The sequence below is a fragment of the Homo sapiens genome, chromosome 9 (assembly GCF_000001405.40).
Source record: "Homo sapiens chromosome 9, GRCh38.p14 Primary Assembly".
NCBI classification, from domain to species: Eukaryota; Metazoa; Chordata; class Mammalia; order Primates; family Hominidae; genus Homo; species Homo sapiens.
This window is the reverse complement of record NC_000009.12, coordinates 41,889,799-41,914,203: the sequence shown is the minus strand read 5'-3', so window position 1 is coordinate 41,914,203 and position 24,405 is coordinate 41,889,799. Positions and strand designations below refer to the sequence as shown.

At 36.9% G+C, this 24,405-nt stretch overlaps 1 protein-coding gene across 1 annotated transcript in view; it reads left to right on the top strand.

The window, feature by feature from the left end:
* Nucleotides 1-23,668, top strand: part of CNTNAP3B (contactin associated protein family member 3B) — a 238,891-nt gene extending 215,223 nt beyond the window's left edge. The window contains exons 19-24 of the mRNA NM_001201380.3: nt 5,423-5,647; nt 7,217-7,350; nt 8,249-8,336; nt 15,205-15,435; nt 15,671-15,742; nt 20,094-23,668. Coding sequence (NP_001188309.2) covers nt 5,423-5,647; nt 7,217-7,350; nt 8,249-8,336; nt 15,205-15,435; nt 15,671-15,742; nt 20,094-20,215 — 872 coding nt within the window. The 3' untranslated portion in view covers nt 20,216-23,668. The remainder of the gene's footprint in view (nt 1-5,422; nt 5,648-7,216; nt 7,351-8,248; nt 8,337-15,204; nt 15,436-15,670; nt 15,743-20,093) is intronic.
* Nucleotides 23,669-24,405: the final 737 nt, after the last annotated feature.

Here is a 24,405-nt window from a genome sequence, read left to right as displayed (position 1 = left end):
ATAAATAAATAAATAAATAAAAACAGAAAATAACAAGTTTTGGCAAGAACCTAGAGAAATTGGAACTCTCTTTTGTTACTGGTGGGAAAGTAAATGCCACAGCCACTGTAGAAATTGATTTAGAGTTAACTCAAAATAGTTAAACATAGAATTACCTTCGAACCCAGCAATTCCACTTCTACATATATAACCAAAACAATTGAAAACAAGAACTCAAGCAGATACTTGTATACAAATGTTCATAGTAGCACTAATCACAATAGTGGAAATAATACAAGTGTCCGTCAACACATGAATTGATTAAAAAATGTAGTGTATACATATAATGGTATATTGTTCAGCCATTAAAAGGAATGAGGTTCTGATACATGATACAACATTAATTAACATAGAAGACATTATGCTAAGTGAAATAAGCCAGACCCAAGAGGGCAGATATTATATAACTTCATGTTTACTAGATATCAATAGACAAATTTGTAGAGACAAAGTAGATTCAAGGATACCAGCAGCTGAGATGAGGGGGCAATGGAGAGTTATTGCTTAATGAATAGAGTTTAATTTTGGGAAGATGAAAAATTTTGGATATCAAAAGAGGTGATAATTGCACAACATTGTGAATTTAATTAATGCTACTGAATTTCATATTTTAAATGGTTAAGTGGCAAATTATATATTATATATATTTTACCCCAAAGTATAGTGAAATCAAGAAAGAAATTAAAATGTTACACTCCAAAATATCCACCAACACAAAATAATAAGTCAGAAGGAAAGTGAAAAGAAAACAAATGAAACACATAGAAAAAGAAAAAGAAAATGGCAGATGTAAATCTAACTGTATCAATAATAATATTAAATGTTCATCGATTGAGCAATCCAATCAAAAGACAAATATTGTCAGAATGGATAACAAAAGAAATCTTAACTATATGCTGTCTAAGGACATACAATTTAGATTGAAAGGGGTAATTTAGTTGAAAATAAAAGAAGGGAAAACATGTACCATGCAAAGAGTAACCCTAGAGAGCCAAAGGGACTATACTAATACCAGAAAAAATAAACTCTAAAACAAAAGGTGCTACTAGAAATAGGGAAACTTATATAATGATAAAAAGTTAATTCCCTCAAAAAGATATAACAATTACAAACTTATATGCAGTTAATAATATAGCCCCAAATTGCATAAAGAATACCTGACAGAACTGAAAAGAGAAATAGAAAAACCAGGAATAAAACCTGGAGGATTCAATACTTCACTTTCAATAAAGGATAGAATAATTACTCAGAAGATTACCAAGAAAATAGAGTTGAAAAAAATAAAAACGCAATCATTCTAACACACATCTGTAGAACACACCACTTAACAATAGCAGAATGTATATTCTTCTCAAGTGTTCATGGAACATATTCTAGGTTAGACAACATGCTACCTGTAAATCAAGCCTCAACACATTTAAAAGGATTGAAATCATATGAAGGGACTTTTTAAAACACAATGAGATGAAATTAATAACATAAAGAAATTGTGGAATATCACAAATATGTGGAAATTAAACTATACACTCCGAAATCAAAAGGGAAATTAGAAAAGGTTTTGAGATAAATGAAAGCAAAAATACAACATTACTAAAACATATAGTAACACAGCTAAAGCAGGGTTTAGAGGGAATTTTAAAGCTGTAAACATCAATATTTAAAAAGAAAAATGGTTCCCAAATAAAAAACCTGACCTGCCACCTTAAGACACTGAAAAAAGAAGAGCAAACTAAATCTAATGTAAGGAGAAACAGGAAATAATAAATAAAACAGGAGAAATTTCTCAAATGGATAATATAAAAGTGACAGAAAAAATTAACCAAACCAAAAGTCAGTCCTTTAAAATTGTTAACAAAATTGGCAAACCTTTAGTACAACTGACCAAGAATAAAAGAGATGATTCAAATTACTAGAATGACATATGAAAGAGTGATATTACTACCAACCTTACAGAAATAACATGGATTGCAAGAGAATATAAACAACTGTATGTTGAAAAAAATTACGTAACTTAGATAAAATGGACGAATTCCTAGGATGACACTAACTACAAAATTAACACAAACTACTACTTCTGTTTCAAGAAGGAGGAGAAAATATAAATTGGCCTATAACAATAAAAGGAATGCCTTAATAATATTAAAATACCACAGAAAGTAAAGCCCAGGTCCAGATGGTTTCAAACAATTGATGCTATCAACTATCAGAATATATCAACTATTTAAAAATATATCAACTATTTAAATAAGAAGTATTAATTCTTCAAAACTCTTCCAAAAAATAAAAGAGAAAGGAGCATTTTTCAACTTATTCTGTAAGGTCAGTATTTCCCTAATACCAAAGCCAGACATAGATATACCAGTATATATATTTTAAATCTACAGACCAATATCATTTAAGTAGATAGATGTGAAAACCCTGAACAGAGTATTACCAAAGCAAATCCAGTCACATATAAAAATGACTATACATCAAGACAAAGTGGAAATGATCCCAGAAATGGAAAGTTGTTTTAACAGCTGAAAATCAATTAATATAATATACTATATCTTAGAATAAAGGACAGAAACACATGATAGGCTCTACTGATGCAGAAAAGTCATTTGATAAAATCCAACATCCTTTCATGAATTTTTGTTTAAATTCAGTAAACTAATTATAGACGATAACTTCCTCAGTCTAACAAATGGTATTTTTGAAAAACTCATAGCTAAAATTATATTTAATTTTAAAGACTGAATTTTTTTTCCTAAGATCAAGAATGAGACAAGAATGTATACTCTCACTAGTTCTATTCAGCATTGTACTAGAGGTTCAGGCCAGACTGATTAGGCAAGAAAATGAAAAAAAAAAAAAAAGAAGAAAAACATCCAAATTAGAAAGGAAATAAAACTATCTCTATTTGAGGATGACATGATTTTTTATATAAAAAAATCCCAAAGAATCTACTTAGAACAATTAAAACTAAAACCAAGTTCAACAAAATTGCAGAATGCAAAAACAATATACAAAATCAATTGTATTTCTACAAATTAGCTGTGAACCATCTGAAAATAAAACCAATAAAACAATTTTATTTACAGTAGCATCAAAAAGAATAACATACATAGCAATACATTTAACAAAAGAAATGGAAAACACACTGAAAACTATAAAGCATTGAAAGAATTTAAAGGTAAATAAATGGAGAGATATTTCATGTCATGGATTGAATAATTAATATAAATAAAATACCAGTGTTCTCTAAAGTAATATACAGATTCAGTACAGTTTCAATCAATATCCCAGCTGGCTTCTTTCCTGAAATTGACAAGCTGATTTCATATGAAAATTTAAATGATGCAGAATAGCCAAAACAATCTTTAAGAAGAAGAAATTTGATAGATTCACACTGCCCAATTTCTAAACTTAATGTAAAGCAGTATATAACTGGCCTAAGACTAAACAGATAGCTCATTGGGATAAAATTGAAAGTCCAGATAGATACCTCGCCATTTATGGTCAATGGATTTTACAAGAGTGCCAGGACAACCCAATGGGAAGAAGTAGTCTCTGAGACTACTGAGTATACATGCACATGCAAATGAATGAAATTAGACCTCTATCTCACACATACATAAAAATGTACCAAATAGACCTCAATGTAAGAACTAAAACTATAAAACTGTTAAAACATGGGAGAACAAAAGAGAAGATAACCCACAGAATGGAAGAAATTATTGCAAATCATGTCTCTTATAAGGGTCTAGTATTCAAATTATTTAAAGAGCTTTTACAACTGAATAAGATGCCGTGTGTGGTGGCTCACACCTGTAATCCCAGCATTTTGGGAGGCCGAGGTGGGCAGATCACGAGGTCAGGAGTTCGAGACCATCCTGGCTAACACAGTGAAACCCCATCTCTACTAAAAATACAAAAAATTAGCCGGGCGTGGTGGCGGGCGCCTGTAGTCCCAGCTACTCGAGAGGCTGAGGCAGGAGAATGGCGTGAACCCAGGAGGCAGAGCTTGCAGTGAGCAGAGATCACGCCACTGCACTCCAGCCTGGGCAACAGAGTGAGACTCTGTCTCAAAAAAACAAAAATAAAAACAAAAAACCAACAACTGAATAAGAAAAAGAAATTTAACCTAATTAAATAATAGGTAAAGCTTATAAGTAAATATTTCTTCAGCAAATATGTGTGAATGTCCAATAAAATCATGAAAAAATAGTTGGCAACATTAGCCAGTAGGCAATCAAAGTCACAATGAAATACCTCTTCACACAGACAAGTATAGCTGTAATTTAAAAGAATGATAATAATAAATGTTGGTGAGGATGTGGAGATATTAAAACCCTCATGATTGCTGTTTGAAATGTAAAATGGTATAGCTATTTTGGAAAAAATATGGCAGCTCCTCCAAATTTTAAAGTTGGTGTTATCATAAGATTGAACAATTTTACTCCTAGGTATATATTCCTAAGAAAAATAAAAATGTATCCATAGAAAAACTTACACGTGAATTTTCATGGAAGCATTATTTATAATAGTCAAAAAGTGGAAACAACCCAAATGTCTATCAACTGTTAAATAGATCCGCAAAATGTGGCACATCCATTACTATTTACATCCAATGAAATATTATTCAATAAAATGCATAAAATACTGACACACGCTACAAGATGGATGAACCTTGAAAATACCATGTTAAGTGAAAGAGGCCAGATTGAAAAGACCACACGTTATATGATTCCACTGATATGAAATCTCTCGAATAGGAACCTCTGCAGAGACAGAAAGTAAATTAGTAGTTGCCTAGGCTGGGGTGTTGGGGAGAAACAGAGAATGACTGCTAGAGGTTATGGAGGTTTTTGTAGGAGGGAATAAGAAGGTGCTCGGGGGAGGGGAGTGAAAATACTCTAAAATTGATCATGGCAATGTTTGCACATGCCTGCAAATATACTAAAAGACATAGAATTTTACACTGTAATTGGGTCTATTACATGGCATATGGATTATATCTGAATAAAGATGTTTAAAAATTAATGATTTGGGAAAAAATTGAAAACCAAAGATGAGATAAGTCACCTATAAATTATACATTTATACTGAAGAATTAGTTATATGTAAATATAAGATGAGGATGATTTGGAGAATTAAAATCTCTATTAAGTGTTAGTCAATTCTGGGTTATGAGTATATTGGAGTTTGCTACTTTTTCTTCAAGTTGTAGTTTTTAAAAAACTTTAAAAAGTGAAAAATAAAAAATAAAACAGGAAAGGATTTCACTATTACTTTATCTCCCAGGATATTTAAGGTTTGGTCTCATTCTCTAAATGTACTTAAAACAAGACCGTTGGACTTACATTTTGTTAACATAACAAAAATGTATTTATCATTTCAGAGATTTCCGCATATTTCGCAACTGGCTCCTCAATGACATACCATTTTCAAGAACATTACACTTTAAGTGAAAACTCCAGCTCTCTCGTTTCTTCATTACACAGAGATGTAACATTGACCAGAGAAATGATCACACTGAGCTTCCGAACCACACGAACTCCGAGCTTATTGCTGTATGTGAGCTCTTTCTATGAGGAATACCTTTCAGTTATCCTCGCCAACAATGGTGAATATCTTTTGTGTAAAGAAAAAGAGAACCCTGAGTTAGAAAAATAGGACTGTAATGACATGGGTCTTTTCAGCAGTCAAACTACAAACGATGAGAGAAAACTGTATGCCCTCCAATGGGTTTGGTTTTTCAGTGCCTCCCTTAATGGTTATTATAAAAGCTAGCATTTCAAGATTAAATTAAGATGCTTTTCTCCCATTACATGTTTGATAATTTAACGGAGTTGATATGCAGTTATATTTCTTATTATTGATAGGATGACTTTAATAGTACATGATGACTCAAATTGGTTTTGCAGTTCATTTTGAAATAAGATATCTAGATACATGACATACATTCCCTCCTCATTCTAAGCAAAATAGAGGAGCATTTATGTGGATGTTATAGTGCAACTATATAAAAGCCAATTCCTATAAGCAACAGATAAGTACAGCTGTTCTTTATCTCGTCAGTGGCTGAAAAACTAGTTATATCACTTTTATAGAAGAAAAGTGTAATGACAGCCTCTCAAACAGTGGTAATTGGGGCGTTGCAAGGTTTTCACAGTTGAACAAGAAGACCAAGCTTTAAGTTTGTTAGGTACACAGCACAAAAATTTCATGTCTAGAAAAAAATCTACAAAATCTCTGATTAGGCTGGACACGGTGGCTCACGCCTATAATCCCAGCACTTTGGGAGGCCAAGGCGGGTGGATCACGAGGTCAGGAGATCGAGACCATCCTGGCTAACACGGTGAAACCCCATCTCTACTAAAAATACAAAAAATGAGCCGGGCATGGTGGTGGGCACCTGTAGTCCCAGCTACTCGGGAGGCTGAGGCAGGAGAATGGCGTGAACCCAGGAGGCGGAGCTTGCAGTGAGCCGAGATCGCGCCACTGCACTCCAGCCTGGGTGACAGAGCGAGACTCCACCTCAAAAAAAAAAAAAAAAAAAAATCTCCGATTAACAGGATCTTAGTATAAGCTAAAAGAGAATTACAGATAATGAGGGTACATCTGTGTAGGAGAGGAGTATGTATATTAGAAGATGTAGATACTATGGAAACCTTGTCTCCTGACAAAACCCTTTCTTGTCCTCATTTTTGGATTATGGCAGAAGACTTAAAATAATCTGGCTATAAAAAATCTTTATGCACATATCAGTAATACATTAAAATGAGCCTTATTAGAAGTTATAATTACAGGAACTGAATGTTGATACAATATTGCATAGAGTTTCATCATTTCATAAATATCAAAGTCATAATGAATTTAGATCTGAGTTCTGAGCTCATATGCATAATTTAAACCTTTTCATTTTTAAATGAAAAGCTTTGGGGAGACTGCTTATTAACAACACATTTAGTCTTGACTTTTAAAATAGCATCATTGGACTCAGAGTCTGGCACAGGAATAGCACCTAAGTAATCACTGTTCCAGGAAAGATAACTATTGGGTGCATCTAAATTGATGCTAAATAGATTCAAAAGTGCTATAAGTAAATAATAATAAAAGTGCTCTAGAATCTGTATCAAGAGTTTTATAAAATACCACTTTAATTTTAAATGCCATTTATTTTTCTTTTTAGGAAGTTTGCAGATTAGGTACAAGCTAGATAGACATCAAAATCCTGATGCATTTACCTTTGATTTTAAAAACATGGCTGATGGGCAACTTCACCAAGTGAAGATTAACAGAGAAGAAGCCGTGGTCATGGTAGAGGTAATCCCACAAATGCAAAAGTCAAACTAACTAATATTATTATTTTGAGAACAAATAATCTAATGAAAAAATTTGATAATAAATATTAATAGAAGAGCAACCCATTCAGTGCTGCTCTTCCATAAGTCAAGAAGAGGCCAAATATGGCCAGGATCTGGGAGAGAGGAGGTGGTTGTTTATTCTGTATTGCTTTGTTTTGTTTGTTTAGCAATGCAATTCCGTCAAAGGTATTATTAATATTTTACTATTTAAAATATCAAAATATCTTTATTTGTTTTACTTTACTCAATAGGGGAATGTTCTCTAGTTTATCATAGTGACTACTGGTGGAATCTATTCATTGATATTGCAGTGGGAACTTGTCTTATTCCGATTATAAAAGAACAAATACTTTAGCAACTTAAAAACACGGTTTAAAAGCACACAACATAGTTATTAAAATGGGAATAAGTAAGAAAATAGACCTGAGTCACCACAGAGGAAGTAAATTACACATTGTCATTGGCATTGGAAGGAAAATATACTGTATAGAGAACAGCAGTGCTTGGTTTTATGTTTCATATTTTCTCCACAGAATGAGTACGTATTTAAGTTTAAAACAGCCAGTTCCATCTTTTTCATGGATTCTGCCAATTATAGATCCTTCCATTATGAAGAAGAGTAAAGCCAGCAAGTGGGTACATCGTGGATAGGGTGGTAGCTGATGGCATCATAGGAATTGCTTATAAAATAGCTTCCCCTTCTAAATGATTAATTATTTGAAGGTGGCTTCTTGAGCTTTTGTAGTGGTACTTAAAAGTGATTTATTTTCATCTTTCCTTTCCTCATCTTCCTTTGCTTCCTTATCATTAAAATTGTACTTTGTGTTGATGTTTGCTTCTCATGGGACATCTAATAGGTTAACCAGAGCGCAAAGAAACAAGTCATCTTGTCCTCAGGGACAGAATTCAACGCCGTCAAATCTCTCATATTGGGAAAGGTTTTAGGTAAGTAGGAGAAAGAGCTTTTTCCCAAAAAATCTAAGTGTCATGTCACAAACTCTGGAAGCATTCATCATGCTGAAAGAAGCTCCTTGTCTTACTTGAATAATAATTTCACAGTGAGTGACAATCAAGGTGCAAACTGTACTCTTGCCTGAGTGTACATATAATCATGAGTAAGTGCTGCCTGTGAGATGTGCAAGGGCGTTCCTGGAAAAATACCTCCACACTTAACCTCTCACTTGGCAATCATGCATAATGAATCACGGTATTTTTCTAACCCTTCTTGAAAAGTGAAATGTTATCAAAGCTGACACGAAGTTCACAGATTATGTATGTATTAATCAACATCAACTCCGGAGACCATCATTCAATGATAAAACTACATTTGAGTTGAACACAAGAGAAAAAACTGGTAATCTTATTACAGCAGATGAATACAGTTTTATTTCTCTCTCAAGCCCTGCTTTGCCTGTTGTTTCCATCCTTTTTGACTTTAGTATCTAACAGGAATGGGGAGGCATATTCATAAATATCTGTTACGCAAGGTAGAAAGTTACAGTAATTGTCTATCATATTGTCTATCATAACCTGTTGTAAAAGCACAGTTAGCTTTACATTTAATAAAGGAACTGAGGAAAGTAATCTTTTTTAAAAAAAACCCATCTTATGTAACTCAATTAAGAAAATGAACTATACTTTAATATTAGGATCAAAAAGTTGAATAATATTTATTATATACATCTTTGTTTCCTTCCAAATAAAGGAGAACATGGAATTGAAGGTGTTAATGTTTTCATTCAAGGATGGTGTATTCAAAGGCATGTAACTTACGGTATAAAAATCTACATTGAAATTCAGCAACGAAGTATATACTCAGAAGCAATTGATCTCAGAAAATTATAAATATTCATTTTGCCTGTCCTTGGAGGTAGAGATAATCATCAAACATTAATAAAACACTTTATACTTTGAAAAACTGTATTTTAGGATTGGTTCTGCTATACATTTTTTGCCACTCTCACATCATTTAGTAATTATACCAAAACTACAACTTTATCTTTAAATTTGGAATTATATAGGAAGTGCTTTCCTTAACTTATAGTAAAATAGACCAACAAGTTGGCTAATAGAGAAGCCACTAATTTTACAAATAAAGTTACCCAAAACACGGTGTTCTAAGTTACCAATATATTTCTCTTGAGTCCCTGTAAATCTTTGATTCATCCCTTCATTTAAAAATATTTGGTGAGCGGCTGGGCGTGGTGGCTTACGCCTGTAATCCCAGCACTTTGGGAGGCCGAGGCGGGCGGATCACGAGGTCAGGAGATCCAGACCATCCTGGCTAACACGGTGAAACCCTGTCTCTACTAAAAATACAAAAAAAATTAGCCGGGCACGGTGGCGGGCGCCTGTAGTCCCAGCTACTCGGGAGGCTGAGGCAGGAGAATGGCGTGAACCTAGGAGGCGGAGCTTGCAGTGAGCAGAGATCCTGCACTCCAGCCTGGATGACAGAGCGAGACTCTGTCTCAAAAAAAAAAAAAAAAAAAAAAAAAAAAAAACTTGGTGAGCATCTGCTATGAACAGTTTATTAAGCACGGAGAAAGCCTCTGAATGAGAGAAACACTATACCTACCCACCCTCACTACACTCACATGTTAATAGGTACATAGGGTAATATATGAGCAATTCTAATAAAATAATGCTCATATCCAGCCTAATTTATTATTATGCACCCTAACAATGCCTTAGAAAAAAATGGCCCAAAATCCATCATAATTAAGATGCTGTTTCTGAGCACCTCAATATGATTTTGCCATTTCTGAGTAGTCTTAGTGAATGAAGACCATTCAGATTGATTATCACAAGATCAATTCAGAGTAAACCTATTTAAATATAAGCTTTTTAGATTTTGAATTTTCTATATAGCTTTGAATTTTATCCAAGAGGTAGCTTTAAAGAATGCAAACACCTAAAATACTTTATAATTCAGTAAAGATGATCCATCATAAATTAAGATTTGTTTTTAGATACTTTGGTATTATTGGTATTCTGTTTTGCTTTGTGTGTGTACATGTGCACATGTATTTAAACACTTTTGAGATGAGTATCACTCTGTCGCCCAGGCTGGAGTGCAGTGGCGCAATCTCGGCTCACTGCAACCTCCGCCTCCCAGGTTCACACGATTCTCCTGCCTCAGCTTCCTGAGTAGCTGGGACTACAGGCATGTACCACCACGCCTGGCTAATTTTTGTATTTTTAGTAGAGACGGGGCTTCATCATGTTGGTCAGGCTGGTCTCGAATTCCTGACCTCGTGATCCACCCGCCTCAGTCTCCCAAAGTGCTGGGATTACAGGTGTGAGCCACCGCGCCCGGCCCCTTAAACACTATCTTAAAAATTACATATATATATCAAAAATACAGAGTGCAAAAATGGAAGATGCCTTTTTGTCTGCTCCCAAAAAGTAAAAAAAGTTAGCCTGTAAACAGTTGCATATGAATACAGCTGAGCTTATATACCTTAGGAGGTATACATTCTAGGCTGAAGAAAAGAAAACCCACTGAAGGACTATATTTCAAATAGAGCTCTAGGTATGTAAGAATGCCAAATAGTTTTGGTAATTAAATATTTCTGGAAATTGCCTTTTGAGTTTTGTAAGGAGATGTCACATAAGACATACAGTTTTAACATTTAAAATTCATCAACCTATGTATTTTATATTACTTCTATGCTATGGTGTTTGTCTCATTTAGAAGAAATGTTTTATGTTGGGTCTGGGATTTGATTTTACCTGATTTACGAGCTAGGAAGTTAACAGCTTTTAACTGTTTTGTGGATGCTGTCCTGGTACAGAGACAAAGGACCCTATTACTCACGGCACGGCAAGCCTCGTGAGCAGCAGTTCATTTGCATTGTTTTCCCTTGGCCCTGAAGCCTTATGGGGCAGTGACGGGTGCAGATGAAGGCTGCACCTGTGGCCATGTTTGCACTGTAGCAGAGGAACACTGAGTTTGGGGAATCCACCGATTTTGTAACAAGCACTAAGCAAGTCTATTCTTTGTCCTGGAGGGGGTCATGACCTTATCCTTCAATGTTGCTTGCTTCAATTATAGCCTTGAGAAGTGGCCTGAGTAAAGTGCTGTCAGCATCTTGCACTTCTTGGCAAACCCAGCAAAGCATGAGGAGACACTCAGAGCCAGTGGTGGATTGCCTCTTTCAACATTATAGAATAAAAACACCCAAAAACCCTATAAAAAGTCAAGAAGATAGGAGATTTTGTGGGGTTTTTTTCCCAAGAAAGAGCAATGATTATATCAATTAGTCCTTTATTGGTAAAATGAGGAGGCTGCACTAAGTTATCTTCAAGATTCTCTTCGATAGAAAATTCTAAGATTGTTCTAACTTGGTCCATTAACCAGGATTCAGTGGGCATCACAGATGTCTTGAGGTCTTTGAAAGTATAAGTCAACAAAACTAATGCTGTCCAATAGAACTTTCTGTGATGATGAAAACGTGTAAAGTCTGTGCTGTCCTATGTGGTAGTCCCCAGACACACTTGAGATAAATGAGTTTTTAAGCACTAGAAATGGGGCTAGTATAACTGAGGGACTAAATTTTACATTTTATTTCATTTTAATTGATTTGAGTTTCTTTTTTTTTTTTTTTTTTTGAGATCGAGTCTCACTCTGTCATCCAGGCTGGAGTACAGTGGCGTGAACTCAGCTCACTGCAAGCTCTGCCTCCCGGGTTCACGCCATTCTCCTGCCTCAGCCTCCCAAGTAGCTGAGACTGCAGGCACCCACCACCATGCCCGGCTAATTTTTTTTATTTTTTATTTTTTTTTATTTTTATTTTTAGTAGAGACGGGGTTTCACCATGTTAGCCAGGATGGTCTTGATCTCCTGACCTCATGATCCGCCCGCCTCGGCCTCCCAAAGTGCTGGGATTACAGGCATGAGCCACCGTGCCTGGCCTGATTTGAATCTCAATGGTCACATGTGGCTAGTGTCTACCATATTGCACAGTGTAGAAGACTGTCCACTTACTTATCTAGTCGTTTTTTCCTTTAGTTCAACCAAGTGGCACCCTTTTGTAAGGATAGACATCTGTCTATTTGGCATGACTTCAATGGGCTGGGAAGACAACCCTATCTCAAATATTTTTTTTCCCACAACGTCAAGTGCCAATATTTCAAATTCTGTATTAGAGATCCATTCTTTTGACTCTTCTGCCAAAATACACATGCCCCTGAAAGTGTTATCAAAAGCCATGACCAGGAATTTGTGCAAACATGAATTTACTCGGGAGCAGGCTTTGATGGAACAGAATAGAGAATTGGAAGGGGGCTGGGTGCAGGACCCCGAAGTTGAGAAAGCCCAGAAAGGGAGGCAGACAGGTCACCATACATTTTTGATTAGAGCTATTCAGCTAAGAGTAGCAAAAGTGAAGGGTTTTGACCATGTTGCCATGTCAAGGTAATAGACAGGAAACTGTATCTACATGTCACCACAGTTAAGAGTTGAGTTCTACTGAATATTGGTTAACTGATAAACAATAAATAGTAGTGCTGGCTAAAATCTGGGAGTACAGAATCACGAGTTTCTTCCTGGATTGTGGTGTGATTGCCAGGTACACTTCAGAGTGGGCAAAGGAACTCCTTTCTTTCAGATTTTCCAGCTTAAACAAAGTATATATGACCATTTTCTAATTAAGTCATTTATTAAAGATGTAAGAAAGTTCTACTCTGTTTCATCAGCTCCAAATTAAACAATTGCTCAAGGTTTTTATTCAGGGTTTTAAAGAGAAGTCTGGCCGGGCGCAGTGGCTCATGCCTGTAATCCTGACACTTTGGGAGGCCAAGGTGGGCAGATCACAAGGTCAAGAGATCGAGACCGTCCTGGCCAACATGGTGAAATCCCGTCTCTACTAAAAATACACAAAAAAAATTAGCTGGGTGTGGTGGTGCATGCCTGTAGTCCCAACTACTTGGGAGGCTGAGGCAGGAGAATCGCTTGTACCCAGGAGGCGGAGGTTGCAGTGAGCCGAGATTGCACCACTGCACTCCAGCCTGGGGACAGAGTGAGACTCCATCTCAAAAAAAAAAAAAAAAAAAAAAAAAAAAAAAAAAAAGGTCTGCCCTAAAATTATGTGATTCTTCTCTAAACTACAGTTACTTAATGTAAAACCATCTTGTATCATGTCAAAAGATAAAAATACTCTTGTTAAGATCGTGTGGCAGACTTTATTCAGGACTATGGCAATAGGTATAGGAATTACTGGAATGGGGCTTTGCAGTTGGGGAAAGAGACTGAGCTCAACTTCAAATACAACAAGGAGAAGTGTGGATTCGTAGCCAAGGAGCAGAGTGGCTGGGGTGGGGTGTCTGAGTGGAAAACTACAAAATGGGAGAGTAATTCTTGCTAAACTGACTCACCAGGTTTCCTGGTGATGCCAGGCCAGTGTTGTCAGACATCACCTGTGGGGTGGTGAGAGGGATGAGAAAGGTGATTAGATATTGAGAGTGATCAGATATTGAGGGTGGGAGATTTGGGTTAAAAGCAAATTGGCAGGATTCTTGCTAAGCTGGACGATGAAAGACCAAAGGTCAGGCTGGTTGAGCAGAGAGCTTAGAGTAGCCTGACCAACATCTGGTCATAGGGAGAATCTTTGTCCATCATGTCAAAGTTCTTTCTTGGAAAAAATAAATTATGTAAAGATCCTTGAACTGGAAACATCATAGAAAAATAGAAATGTAAGAGAAATTGTCATTCTGGTCAGGATCTAAATGTACTAGAGTAAAACCAAAGAAGAGTAAAAAGGGAAAAGTGAGAGAAGAAAAAGAAAAATTTCCCAAGCCTCTCATTTAGGGAAGAACTGTTGTGGGGAACCCCGCGGTGGTGTGGGAGGGAGGGTGGGGAGAAAGAACCATGCAATCGCTCATCTCACTGTTGGGAATGGGGGAAAGTTGGAAAAAGAGGATCTGGTTTTCATATAACAGTGTGAAGGCATGATTTTGATTGTGAGGGCTAGGGAAGTTGAGCTCTCAAACTCATAAAAGGGAAAGCAGGAAATAAGAAGGAAACTGATTAAAGCAGCAAAATAAAAGAAAAAAAGATGAAATAATGTGAAATAAATAGTGTAAGATAAAAAATAAAATCAGATATAGTGGTTATTACTCTAAAGACAAATGGACTAAATTCTGTCAAACTAGGTTTAAAAACAACAGTTAAATGCTCTTAGAATATTGAAAATGAAGGGGCATGCCAAGAACTAGCAGGCAACAGCTGATAAATTTAAGAAATGCAGCACTACTTTCAGATAAGATTGAATTTAAGATTGGAATATAATCGAATCTTAAATGAGATAAAGAGGGATATTATCTGATGACAAAAGATACAGTTTATTAAGATAATATGAAAGTCATCATACAAAATAGCAACTATAGTATGAAGGATTTCCAGAGCTCTGCCCTCATCTCCAAGAGTCGCTTTTCTGTAATCCTCCGGATTATTGGCTGTGAGCGCCATTAAAATTTTATTTTAATGCTATATTGTAAAAATTAAATGGCAGAGGATTTCTTAAATTTATGCCATGTAACTGCTTTCCTATGAAGCTCTGTTACTTGCAGAGAGCCAGCCATCTGCACTTGAACAAATCTGTTAAAAACCTGCCTTTCATAACCCTGACAATGGAAATAGTTGCCAAACAGGTAAAGATTCAGGGTGACCTCTCCTGGAGTGAAGGAACGAGGGGATCGGAGGGACCTCTCCTGGAGTGAAGGAACGAGGGTCGCTGTCTTGCAGATGCGGGGTGTCCCTGCGCCCCCATCTCCGCCGCTGCGCCCTAACTGTGTGTTCCCCTTCTGTCCTCAGAGGCTGCCGGCGCGGACCCGGACACAAGGCGGGCGGCGACTAGTGGCTTCACTGGCTGCCTCTCGGCGGTGCGCTTCGGCTGCGCTGCTCCCCTGAAGGCGGCGCTGCGCCCCAGCGGCCCCTCCCGGGTCACCGTCCGCGGCCACGTGGCCCCTATGGCCCGCTGCGCGGCGGGGGCGGCGTCCGGCTCCCCGGCGCGGGAACTGGCTCCCCGACTCGCGGGGGGCGCAGGTGTGTGGCCCTCCACCCCTGCGCACCTGAAACTGCGCTTCTCTCAAATGTTTTTGAATTTCTCAAAAGCCTTCTTTTCTCCGTCTCTGTCATCCTTCTTTTTTTCCTTTTTTAAAATACATTTTTGTGATGTTCTTATTTTAATTCACTTTTAATTGACAAAAGTTTGCTATGTGTAAATTGTGGCGTGATTAAATCAAGCTATTAAACATCATTCTTCCTTTCCCTGTTGTAGGTCGTTCTGGACCAGTGGATGAGGGAGAGCCCTTGGTTAATGCAGACAGAAGAGACTCTGCTGTCATCGGAGGTAACAAGGCCCTGAATGACCTGGTGCTTGTCATTATCGCTTTAGATAATGATACCATTACTTAGCACAATGGGAAATATATGTAAGAATCAATACTCAATGGTGAGGTCAGAGGGGTGCTATGTATTGCGGTTGGTGGTGGTTTTTTGTTTTTTGTTCTTTGTTTTTTTTCTATTTGAGACAAGAGCCTCACGCTGTCACCCAGGCTGGAGTGCAGTGGTGAGATCTCCACTCACTGCAACCTCTGCCTCCTGGGTTCAAGCGATTCTCCTGCCTCAGCCTCCTGAATAGTTAGGGTTATAAGAGTGTGCCACTATGCCTGGCTAATTTGTTGTGTTTTTGGTAGACACAGGGTTTCTCCGTATTGGCCGTGCTGGTTTCGAACTCCTGGCCTCAAGTGATCTGCCCGCCTCAGCCTCCCAAAGTGCTGAGATCACAGGCGTGAGCCACCATGCCCGGCCTTCGTTGATTTTCTGAGGCAGTATTTGCTGATTTCAGCTTCCCTGGGGGTGCTCAGCATGTAAGAATTCTGCTGAAACAATTTTTTTTGAAGAACAGTTACAAAGCTAATAATGAAAAGTTATTAATTTGAAAATAGCTGTATTCCCTAGGACATGCGGGATATTTGTCACGGTAATGACAACTGTTGGACGGACCTGAAGTAATTATGTTCAAAGCAATGGAAACCTCAGCTAATTATCAGAGCATACACTTTATGGTACTTTTCTTCAATGACAAATAGTATGATTTAGATACTCCCATGACAGTGTTTCACTTATTTAAGAAGTTTTTGTTTGTTTGTTTGTTTTTTGAGACGGAGTCTCGCTGTGTCGCCCAGGCTGGAGTGCAGTGAAGCAATCTCGACTTACTGCAAGCTCCGCTTCCCGGGTTCACGCCATTCTCCTGCCGCAGCCTCCTGAGTAGCTGAAACTACAGGCGCCCGCCACCACGCCCGGCTATTTTTTGTATTTTTAGTAGAGGCGGGGTTTCACCCTGTTAGCCAGGATGGTCTCGATCTCCTGACCTCGTGATCCACCCGCCTCGGCCTCCCAAAGTGCTGGGATTACAGGCGTGATTATTTAAGAAGTTTTAAAGGCACACATTATTTAAAGTGTATTGTTATTTTAAAGTGTATAATTCCCTGTCATTAAGGACATTTACAATGTTGTGCAGCAGTAGCCATTGTATGTTTCACTTTTAATCATACTTTGGAAAGAACTAATCTAATAGGCTAAGAATGTTTTGTGGTTATTTTTAATTGAAGAAAAGTGAAGTTAAGCATAGCTTAAAAATATGTTTTGGCAATGAAAACTTTTTTTCTAAAATATAATTTATTTAGAGCTGGTGCAAAAAATAAGCATTCACCTTTCTTTGTTAATTAATGAGTGAATTATTGAAATCTTTGTTTGTTTGAGACGGAGTCTCGCTCGTCGCAAAGGCTGGAGTGCAGTGGCGCCATCTTGGCTCACTGCAAGCTCCGCCTCCCATTCTCCTGCCTCAGCCGCCCAAGTAGCTGGGGATACAGGTGCCCACCACCACGCACGGCTAATTTTTTATATTTTTAGTAGAGACGGGGTTTCACCGTGTTAGCCAGAATGGTCTCGATCTCCTGACCTCATGATCCACCTACCTTGGCCTCCCAAAGTGCTAGGATTACAGGCATGAGCCACCATGCCCGGCTGAGTTATTGAAATCTTAATTGTATTCTTATTCTGCAGACTCTCCATAGCACATACAAGAGTAAACTAGTTGTGTTTGTTTCCTTCAAAATGACAGGAAACAATTTTGACATAATAAAGTTCTGACTAAATTTCAGTTGAGGATATTCACATTTCCATCACTATCTCAATTCTTTTTGTCTTAGAAATCAGTAAGGTGTAAATTAAAAATACATGACCTGATGAACAAAAACTGTTTTAAACAGTTTCCAGTGGGATTGTGGTCAATAATGCATATCTAAAAGGTATACTTTCGGGGTCAATTTTAAATCAAATCCAATCCTAAATCAATCATGCCTTTTTAGGAGATTTTTTTCATTGCAATGCAAAAGCAATTTCAACATGCCGAACATTTTCACGCTAGGTTTCCAAGTCCTACAGACGTTTACACAATGTCAGGGTTAGTACCCAGCTTTTGGTGAGAAGGAAATGGGCAAGTTGATCATAGAACCAGCTCTTTGGAATTGTATTATATTGCTGGTGGTCAAATATCACTGGCAAGATTGACGGAGTAAACGTAAGGAAACATCTTAGCAGTGTTCTCTTCCGCTGAGAAATTCTTAGCCTGAACGAGGGGATGAAAAGGAGTCTGTGGAAGGCTTCCCCTGGGCTTTCCCAAAGGCAATTTGCATTTTCTAATAGGGACTGGCTGAAGATATAAATTAATATTTGTGTGAAGTACTTTAAATGTACGATGTAGGCAGTAAAAGCGTGGGGGAGGAAATATAATTTCTCCTCATCATTCCTAACTTTGTAGTTGGGACAGACCTCTGATTAACAAGAGAAAAACAAGCAAGTTTACTAAGGCATGCGGTCCACAGCACGTGGGAGAAACCTCAGTGAAACTCAAAGCGCAGTGGCTTAGAAGTCTGGCTCATCTTCAACAATACATTTGTGGAGAAATGACAGGACAATGGAAAGCAATTTTAGGTGTCCGAAGGCGAGAAACCGTGGGAAGATAAATATATGGGAAGAAACTAGTGGAGTACGTGTGTTTGTACATTCTTCTGCTGACATCCCTGAGCTGGTAAGAATGGTCTCCGGTAAAAGATAATTTACATCCTGTCTTTAGATGAAAAGAGGGGAGGATCTAGAGAGCTCTTCCTCCATTGGCTGCTTCTTAATTGCCTTTACTTCAAAATATTTGTCAAAAAGGCATATTTGGGGGTGACATATTCTGATTACCTTCAGAAGCTTGTCTTTATACACATTTATTTCTTTTAGGGTAGATTTTACTTTCATTTGTCACTAATATGATTGCTTCAGTACACAGCATTCTGTGGCATGGCTTCATGCTTTAGCACTCTGGCTCTGAATTAAAGCCTGAAACAATTTATAAAGATACTGGTATCCAGGCCTTCCATTCATTTATTCTGATTTACTGACTTAGTGTGCAGCTAGAGTCGAGAATCATGGACACTGCTAATGGTTTCAATATTTTAAAACATTTTGCCCAGGTCTTTCAAATAATCCACATTCCAGGTAAAAAAAAAATGAATAAATATGCCTGCAATATTTTTGGTAATAGGGATTGATTACATATATGCGACCCTACTGCGTTTGAAAAGTATATTATCGGCCGGGCGCGTTGGCTCACGCCTGTAATCCCAGCACTTTGGGAGGCCGAGGCGGACGGATCATGAGGTCAGGAGATCGAGACCATCCTAGCTAACACGGTGAAACCCCGTCTCTACTAAAAATGCAAAAAGTTAGCCGGGCGCTGTGGCGCGCGCCTGTAGTCCCAGCTACTCAGGAGCCTGAGGCAGGAGAATGGCGTGAACCTGGGAGGCGGAGCTTGCAGTGAGCCGAGATCGCACCACTGCACTCCAGACTGGGCGACAGAGCAAGACTCCGTCTCAGAAAAAAAAGAAAAGTGTATTATCATAAAAGTATTTGAAAACAATTTCATTAAAATGTACCCATTTCATTGTACTAACAATAACATGTAATGATCTATGATGATGCAAACACTCTATACTTGTAAAATGATTTAAAATTTCCCACTTGTTAACTGAAGGATGTACGCGGTCTTAGAGACATGTATGTCTCTATTCTTTTAAATCTGAAAGCATTATCTAAAACCCAATCATCATATACCTGTAGGGAAAAAGCCTAACACAGCCATATCCAAAAGTCATAGTCCGTCAGAAGTATGTTAAATGTTATAAAATTACTTGACCTCAGCATTTCTGAGTTTTGGTGTTTTCAATTTATAATATAATAGGTGGTTGGTTTATTTTAACCAAACTTAAAAAGCAATGATGTCTGCAAAGCCTCTGATTGGACCAAAAGTCACCATTTATACTCTGACATTGAGGCCAGGCACGGTAACTCACACCTGTAATCCCAACAATTTGGGAGGCCAAGGTGAGAGGATCACTTTAGCCCAGGAGTTCGAGACCAGCCTGGGCAACATAGCAACACCCCATCTCTACAAAGAATAATTGTAAAAAGAAAAAAAAAAATAAGCTGAACGGTGGAGTGGGCCTATAGTCTCAGCTACTTGGGAGGATCAAGGCTACAGTTAGCTGTGATCATGCCACTGCACTCCAGCGTGGGCGACAGAGTGAGACCCTCTCTCTAAAAAGAAAAAAGAAAAAAAATTATGATGTTTTATTCTTTTCTCTCCCTAGGTGTGATAGCAGTGGAGATATTTATTTTGCTTTGCATCACTGCCATAGCCATACGCATCTATCAACAGAGAAAGTTACGCAAAGAAAATGAGTCAAAAGTCTCAAAAAAAGAAGAGTGCTAGGACAGCTCTAAACAGTGAGCTCGATGTGCAAAACGCAGTCCATGAAAACCAGAAAGAGTGAGTCTTCTGATTGGCAGCTGTGGCTGTCTCTATCATCGTGACTGTGGACTTCCCTGCTGTTGCCATCAGGGTGCACACAGCAGGTGCAGTGCTGTCACCTGGCTGAAGATCTGCAGCCTCAGAGCCTCTGGGAGGTCCCTTTCTCCCTCGGTGAAACACAGTCCTCCACATCAATTTCCAAACAATGAATTAGGTATGGCCATTCATCACTGTTCAGTAGTTTCCCCGTCCAAAGGCTCTCTTCCAAAACTGCAGTTTGATCTGTGTTAATAATTGTGGGGTTTTAGATGAGAAAATGACTATAAAGCTGTGGCCCTACTTTATTTTTTAAAAATGACAGAACTTTTGTTCAGATGTAAAAGACAAAATTGCACTTTAATGTTTTTTGTTACTTGAAAACATATCTGGGATCCCTTTTTTTGGTCCTCTGCTGATATTATAAAACAAGAAATGCTTCTTGGACTACCTTCACTGGCATTTCCATAGTCCTGGAATCCAGAGCCAAGTGGCCTATCTAAAATTCACAGCCCTTTTATTCTCCTGTGTGATGGTTAATACAACACAGTTGAAGCCTGGAAACACTACCATTATTTTTGGTGTATTGCTTTTTCTAATTGACTGTTTTTAATGATTTTGATACATTTTAATGTTGAAATTAATATTGAATGTTAGCTATGAAATTTTAGTATTGAATTTTATAATGGAACAGAACATTGGTAGGTAACAAGATGCAAGAGGATGTCAATACAAGATTGTCTGCCTGTTTTTCTTTGTAATTTGTAATTACAGTTTTTGTAACTTGTGATTATGTTTTTAACTAAATTTACCACCAGATACAAACACTACTTCTTACACAGAGTTATCCTTTATTTATATCATTAAGACGTGAATGAAACATCATCCTAACTTACTTCCCCAAGATATTGAGAGGTCATATCTGTTTTTCATCATTCATTTCTTTTTCTAAAAGTTGTTACTGATATGCTTTTGATTTCCTATGACTCTATTATGTTGTACAGAACATCTTTTCAATTTATTAAAAAAAATAGCTTAACTGAAGATCACTAATTCCTTTTCTAAATTTTGAACTGCTCTAGGCATAAATATCATTGTGTATTATCCTTTCATCTAATCACTTTTGGAATGTAAACTGAAGGCTGTTCACTCCAAGTTAAGTTAACATTTACATGATGTTTATTAAATCTGCCAGTCTGATCAAAGGTTTATGACCATGGGGCCAAATTCCCATAGATTACCCAAAATTGAATATGTGCAGTTAACTGGAACATGTCTCATTAAGGTTTACATACACACTAAGACAGCAAAGGATTGGAATTAACTTTATGGAGACAGTTCCAGGGACTAATATTGAAGCAGTGGTTATTTGATAATGCATGGAACCACCATTTGGATTCAATAAACCAATTACATAAAAGCAATGATGCTACGCTCTTCATATTCCAGATACCAACTGCCTACCAAGGACTAATGAGATGGTATATTTCTTCCACATCAGGGCAAGCTGAAAATATATTGATTCAGCGTTACTGTTATGTAAATGAATTTCCATCTTCTCATATGTGTTATTTTTGAAAGAATGAATACACTCTCTGTCTTAAATCCGCTCTTAACAAATGATCTCTTCTCAGAATACTACATCTGTATTGAGAGTACAGACAGCCCATTGGTCACTGCACCTTTTGCAAGACAGCGAAACGGATGCATCAAATTGCATTGATACATCATCACCATCAATCTTTTGCACTGATTTTTAGACTTAATCTTCTTATTTGAAAATAAACTCATTTTTAAATAAAATAAAAAATATTTTAGGGAAAGCTCTATAAAATTAAAATTACAGAATTATATGCTTTTTAAAATTTATGCAAAAATGTGCAGACAAATGTATTCTGTATTGGTTTATGTATCACTTTGCCCTTGTATATTTTGAGATTATTAAGATTTGTTGACTTTTTTGGTTTGATATTTATCATCTGTTAAATTTTTCCTTTTAAATTATTAAATGCAAAGTGCAAGAAAAAGAGATAAATATTTACTGATTGCTAGATGTAAAAATATCTATGAATATATATATTTAAACTTCTGCCAGAGAGCAACCATCTGACAGTCAACTTACTAAAATCTAAATTGAGTACTTTTTACTGTTGCAGAGAATTAAGTCACTAAACGTTATTTAGATATATAGATGCTAGTTGCAAGTAACACCCTTTTGTAATATAAAAGTAAAAGCATAATAATTTCCCAACTTTTGTCTTCAAATTAAAAAAGAAAATAGCATATAATTACCATTCTTCATTTGAGAAAGCTGAAGATTCTGATGCTTAAAAACTTCAGAATTCTAATATTAAAAATAGAGTGGTTCATGTGACATTGAAGGCTTATCTCTGTAAAATAGTGACACTGGTGAGTGGTATTATCTCAATATTTTTGTCCAAATTCACCTTAGGAAGTCACTGTAAATCTTCATTGTTTCCTAAAAGTCATTATTACGGCATAAACTTAACATACTTTGATAGTAGTTAGTACTGATACGTGACATATTCTACCCCGTGTCTCTGTTACTCTGTCTCTATTACTGTGAAAAGTCACAGTAAATTTAACATTTTCTTCCAGACTGTGTATGATCTTTCATTGTAATAGAGACATGGAGTAGGATAAGTCATGTATTAACATATAAGATTTTTTTAACCTGCTCCCTCAGTTTTATAGATGAGACAAAGATAAGGTTGTAAGAGCTAATCTCTTCAAGTAGGCAGTACTAGTAAGTTGTCATGCGTGGACTGAACTCCTGGCACTTCTTTCTCTTAACTTCAATCCATAGAGAAGCCCACCTTCCTGCCTTCCCAGTATTATTTAGCAGAGGAGAAAATCATATTAGGCTGTTTGATACTCTGTTTGCCTAGACTGATCAATAATTCTGGATCTTTGTTCACATCTTCTCTGAAAGAATATTTGATGGGAAATCTTTTTTATTTTTTAATTTTTGTGTACATACTAGGTGCATATATTTATGGAGTACATGAAATGTTTTGATACAGGCATGCACTGTGAAATAAGCACATCATGGAGAATGGGGTATCCATCCCCTCAACATTTATCCTTTGTGTTACAAACAACCTGATTACACTCTGTATTTTAAAATATGCAGTTAAGTTTTTATTGACTATAGTCACCCTATTGTGCTATCATATAGTAAGTTTTACTCATTCTTTCTACTTTTTTTGTACCCATTAACCTATCCCCACCTCTGCCCCACCATTATCTCAGCTGTCTACTACTTTTTTCAGCCTTTACTAACCATCCTTCTACTCTATATCCATGAGTTCCGTTGTTTTGGTTTTTAGATCCCACAAATAAATGAGAACATGGCAATGTTTGTCTTTCTATGCCTGGCCTATTTCACTTAACATAATGACCTCCAGTTCCATCCATGCTGTCGCAAGTGACAGGATCTCATTCTCTTTTATGGCTGAAGAGTACTCCATTTTGTATGTGAACCACATTTTCTTCATTCATCTGTTGATGAACACTTAGGGTGTTTCCAAATCTTAGCTGTTATAAACAGTATTGCAACAAATAAAAGAGTGCAGATGGAAAATTGATTTTGATGGCTTTTTTCTTTAATAAAACATTAATTTCTTCATGTATAACTGGAAGGCAAACAAATGATCCATTTGCTTAGTTTATTCTTGAATCCATAATATAAGTGACAGAAATGGATTATTAAAATATACTTGAATTTGGGGAAGAATGATATGGACACATTTTAAATCAAAACATGATGAATTGGCTGTTTAACCTACTACCTCATTGGCCAATCTGGGGCAAGATGAAAGTATTTGTAAACACTGTTTTGGCAATTATGTGTAAAGAGAGAACCAATTTTTTAATTAAAAAATTGAATTCTAAGAATTACAGAGCTTTTCTATTGGTAAAGACATTAAATATCATAGAGTCCAACGCTTTTCTCTTCCTTCACATCACTCCCAATGGATGTAGCTCAGGCTAAGTTCATTGCTGATGTGTTGTCAGAACAGCCACTAACGGTTTAAGTTGGTATACTTAAGTGCAAATGTAACCTTAAGAAGGTTACATAAAGTTGCCATTAC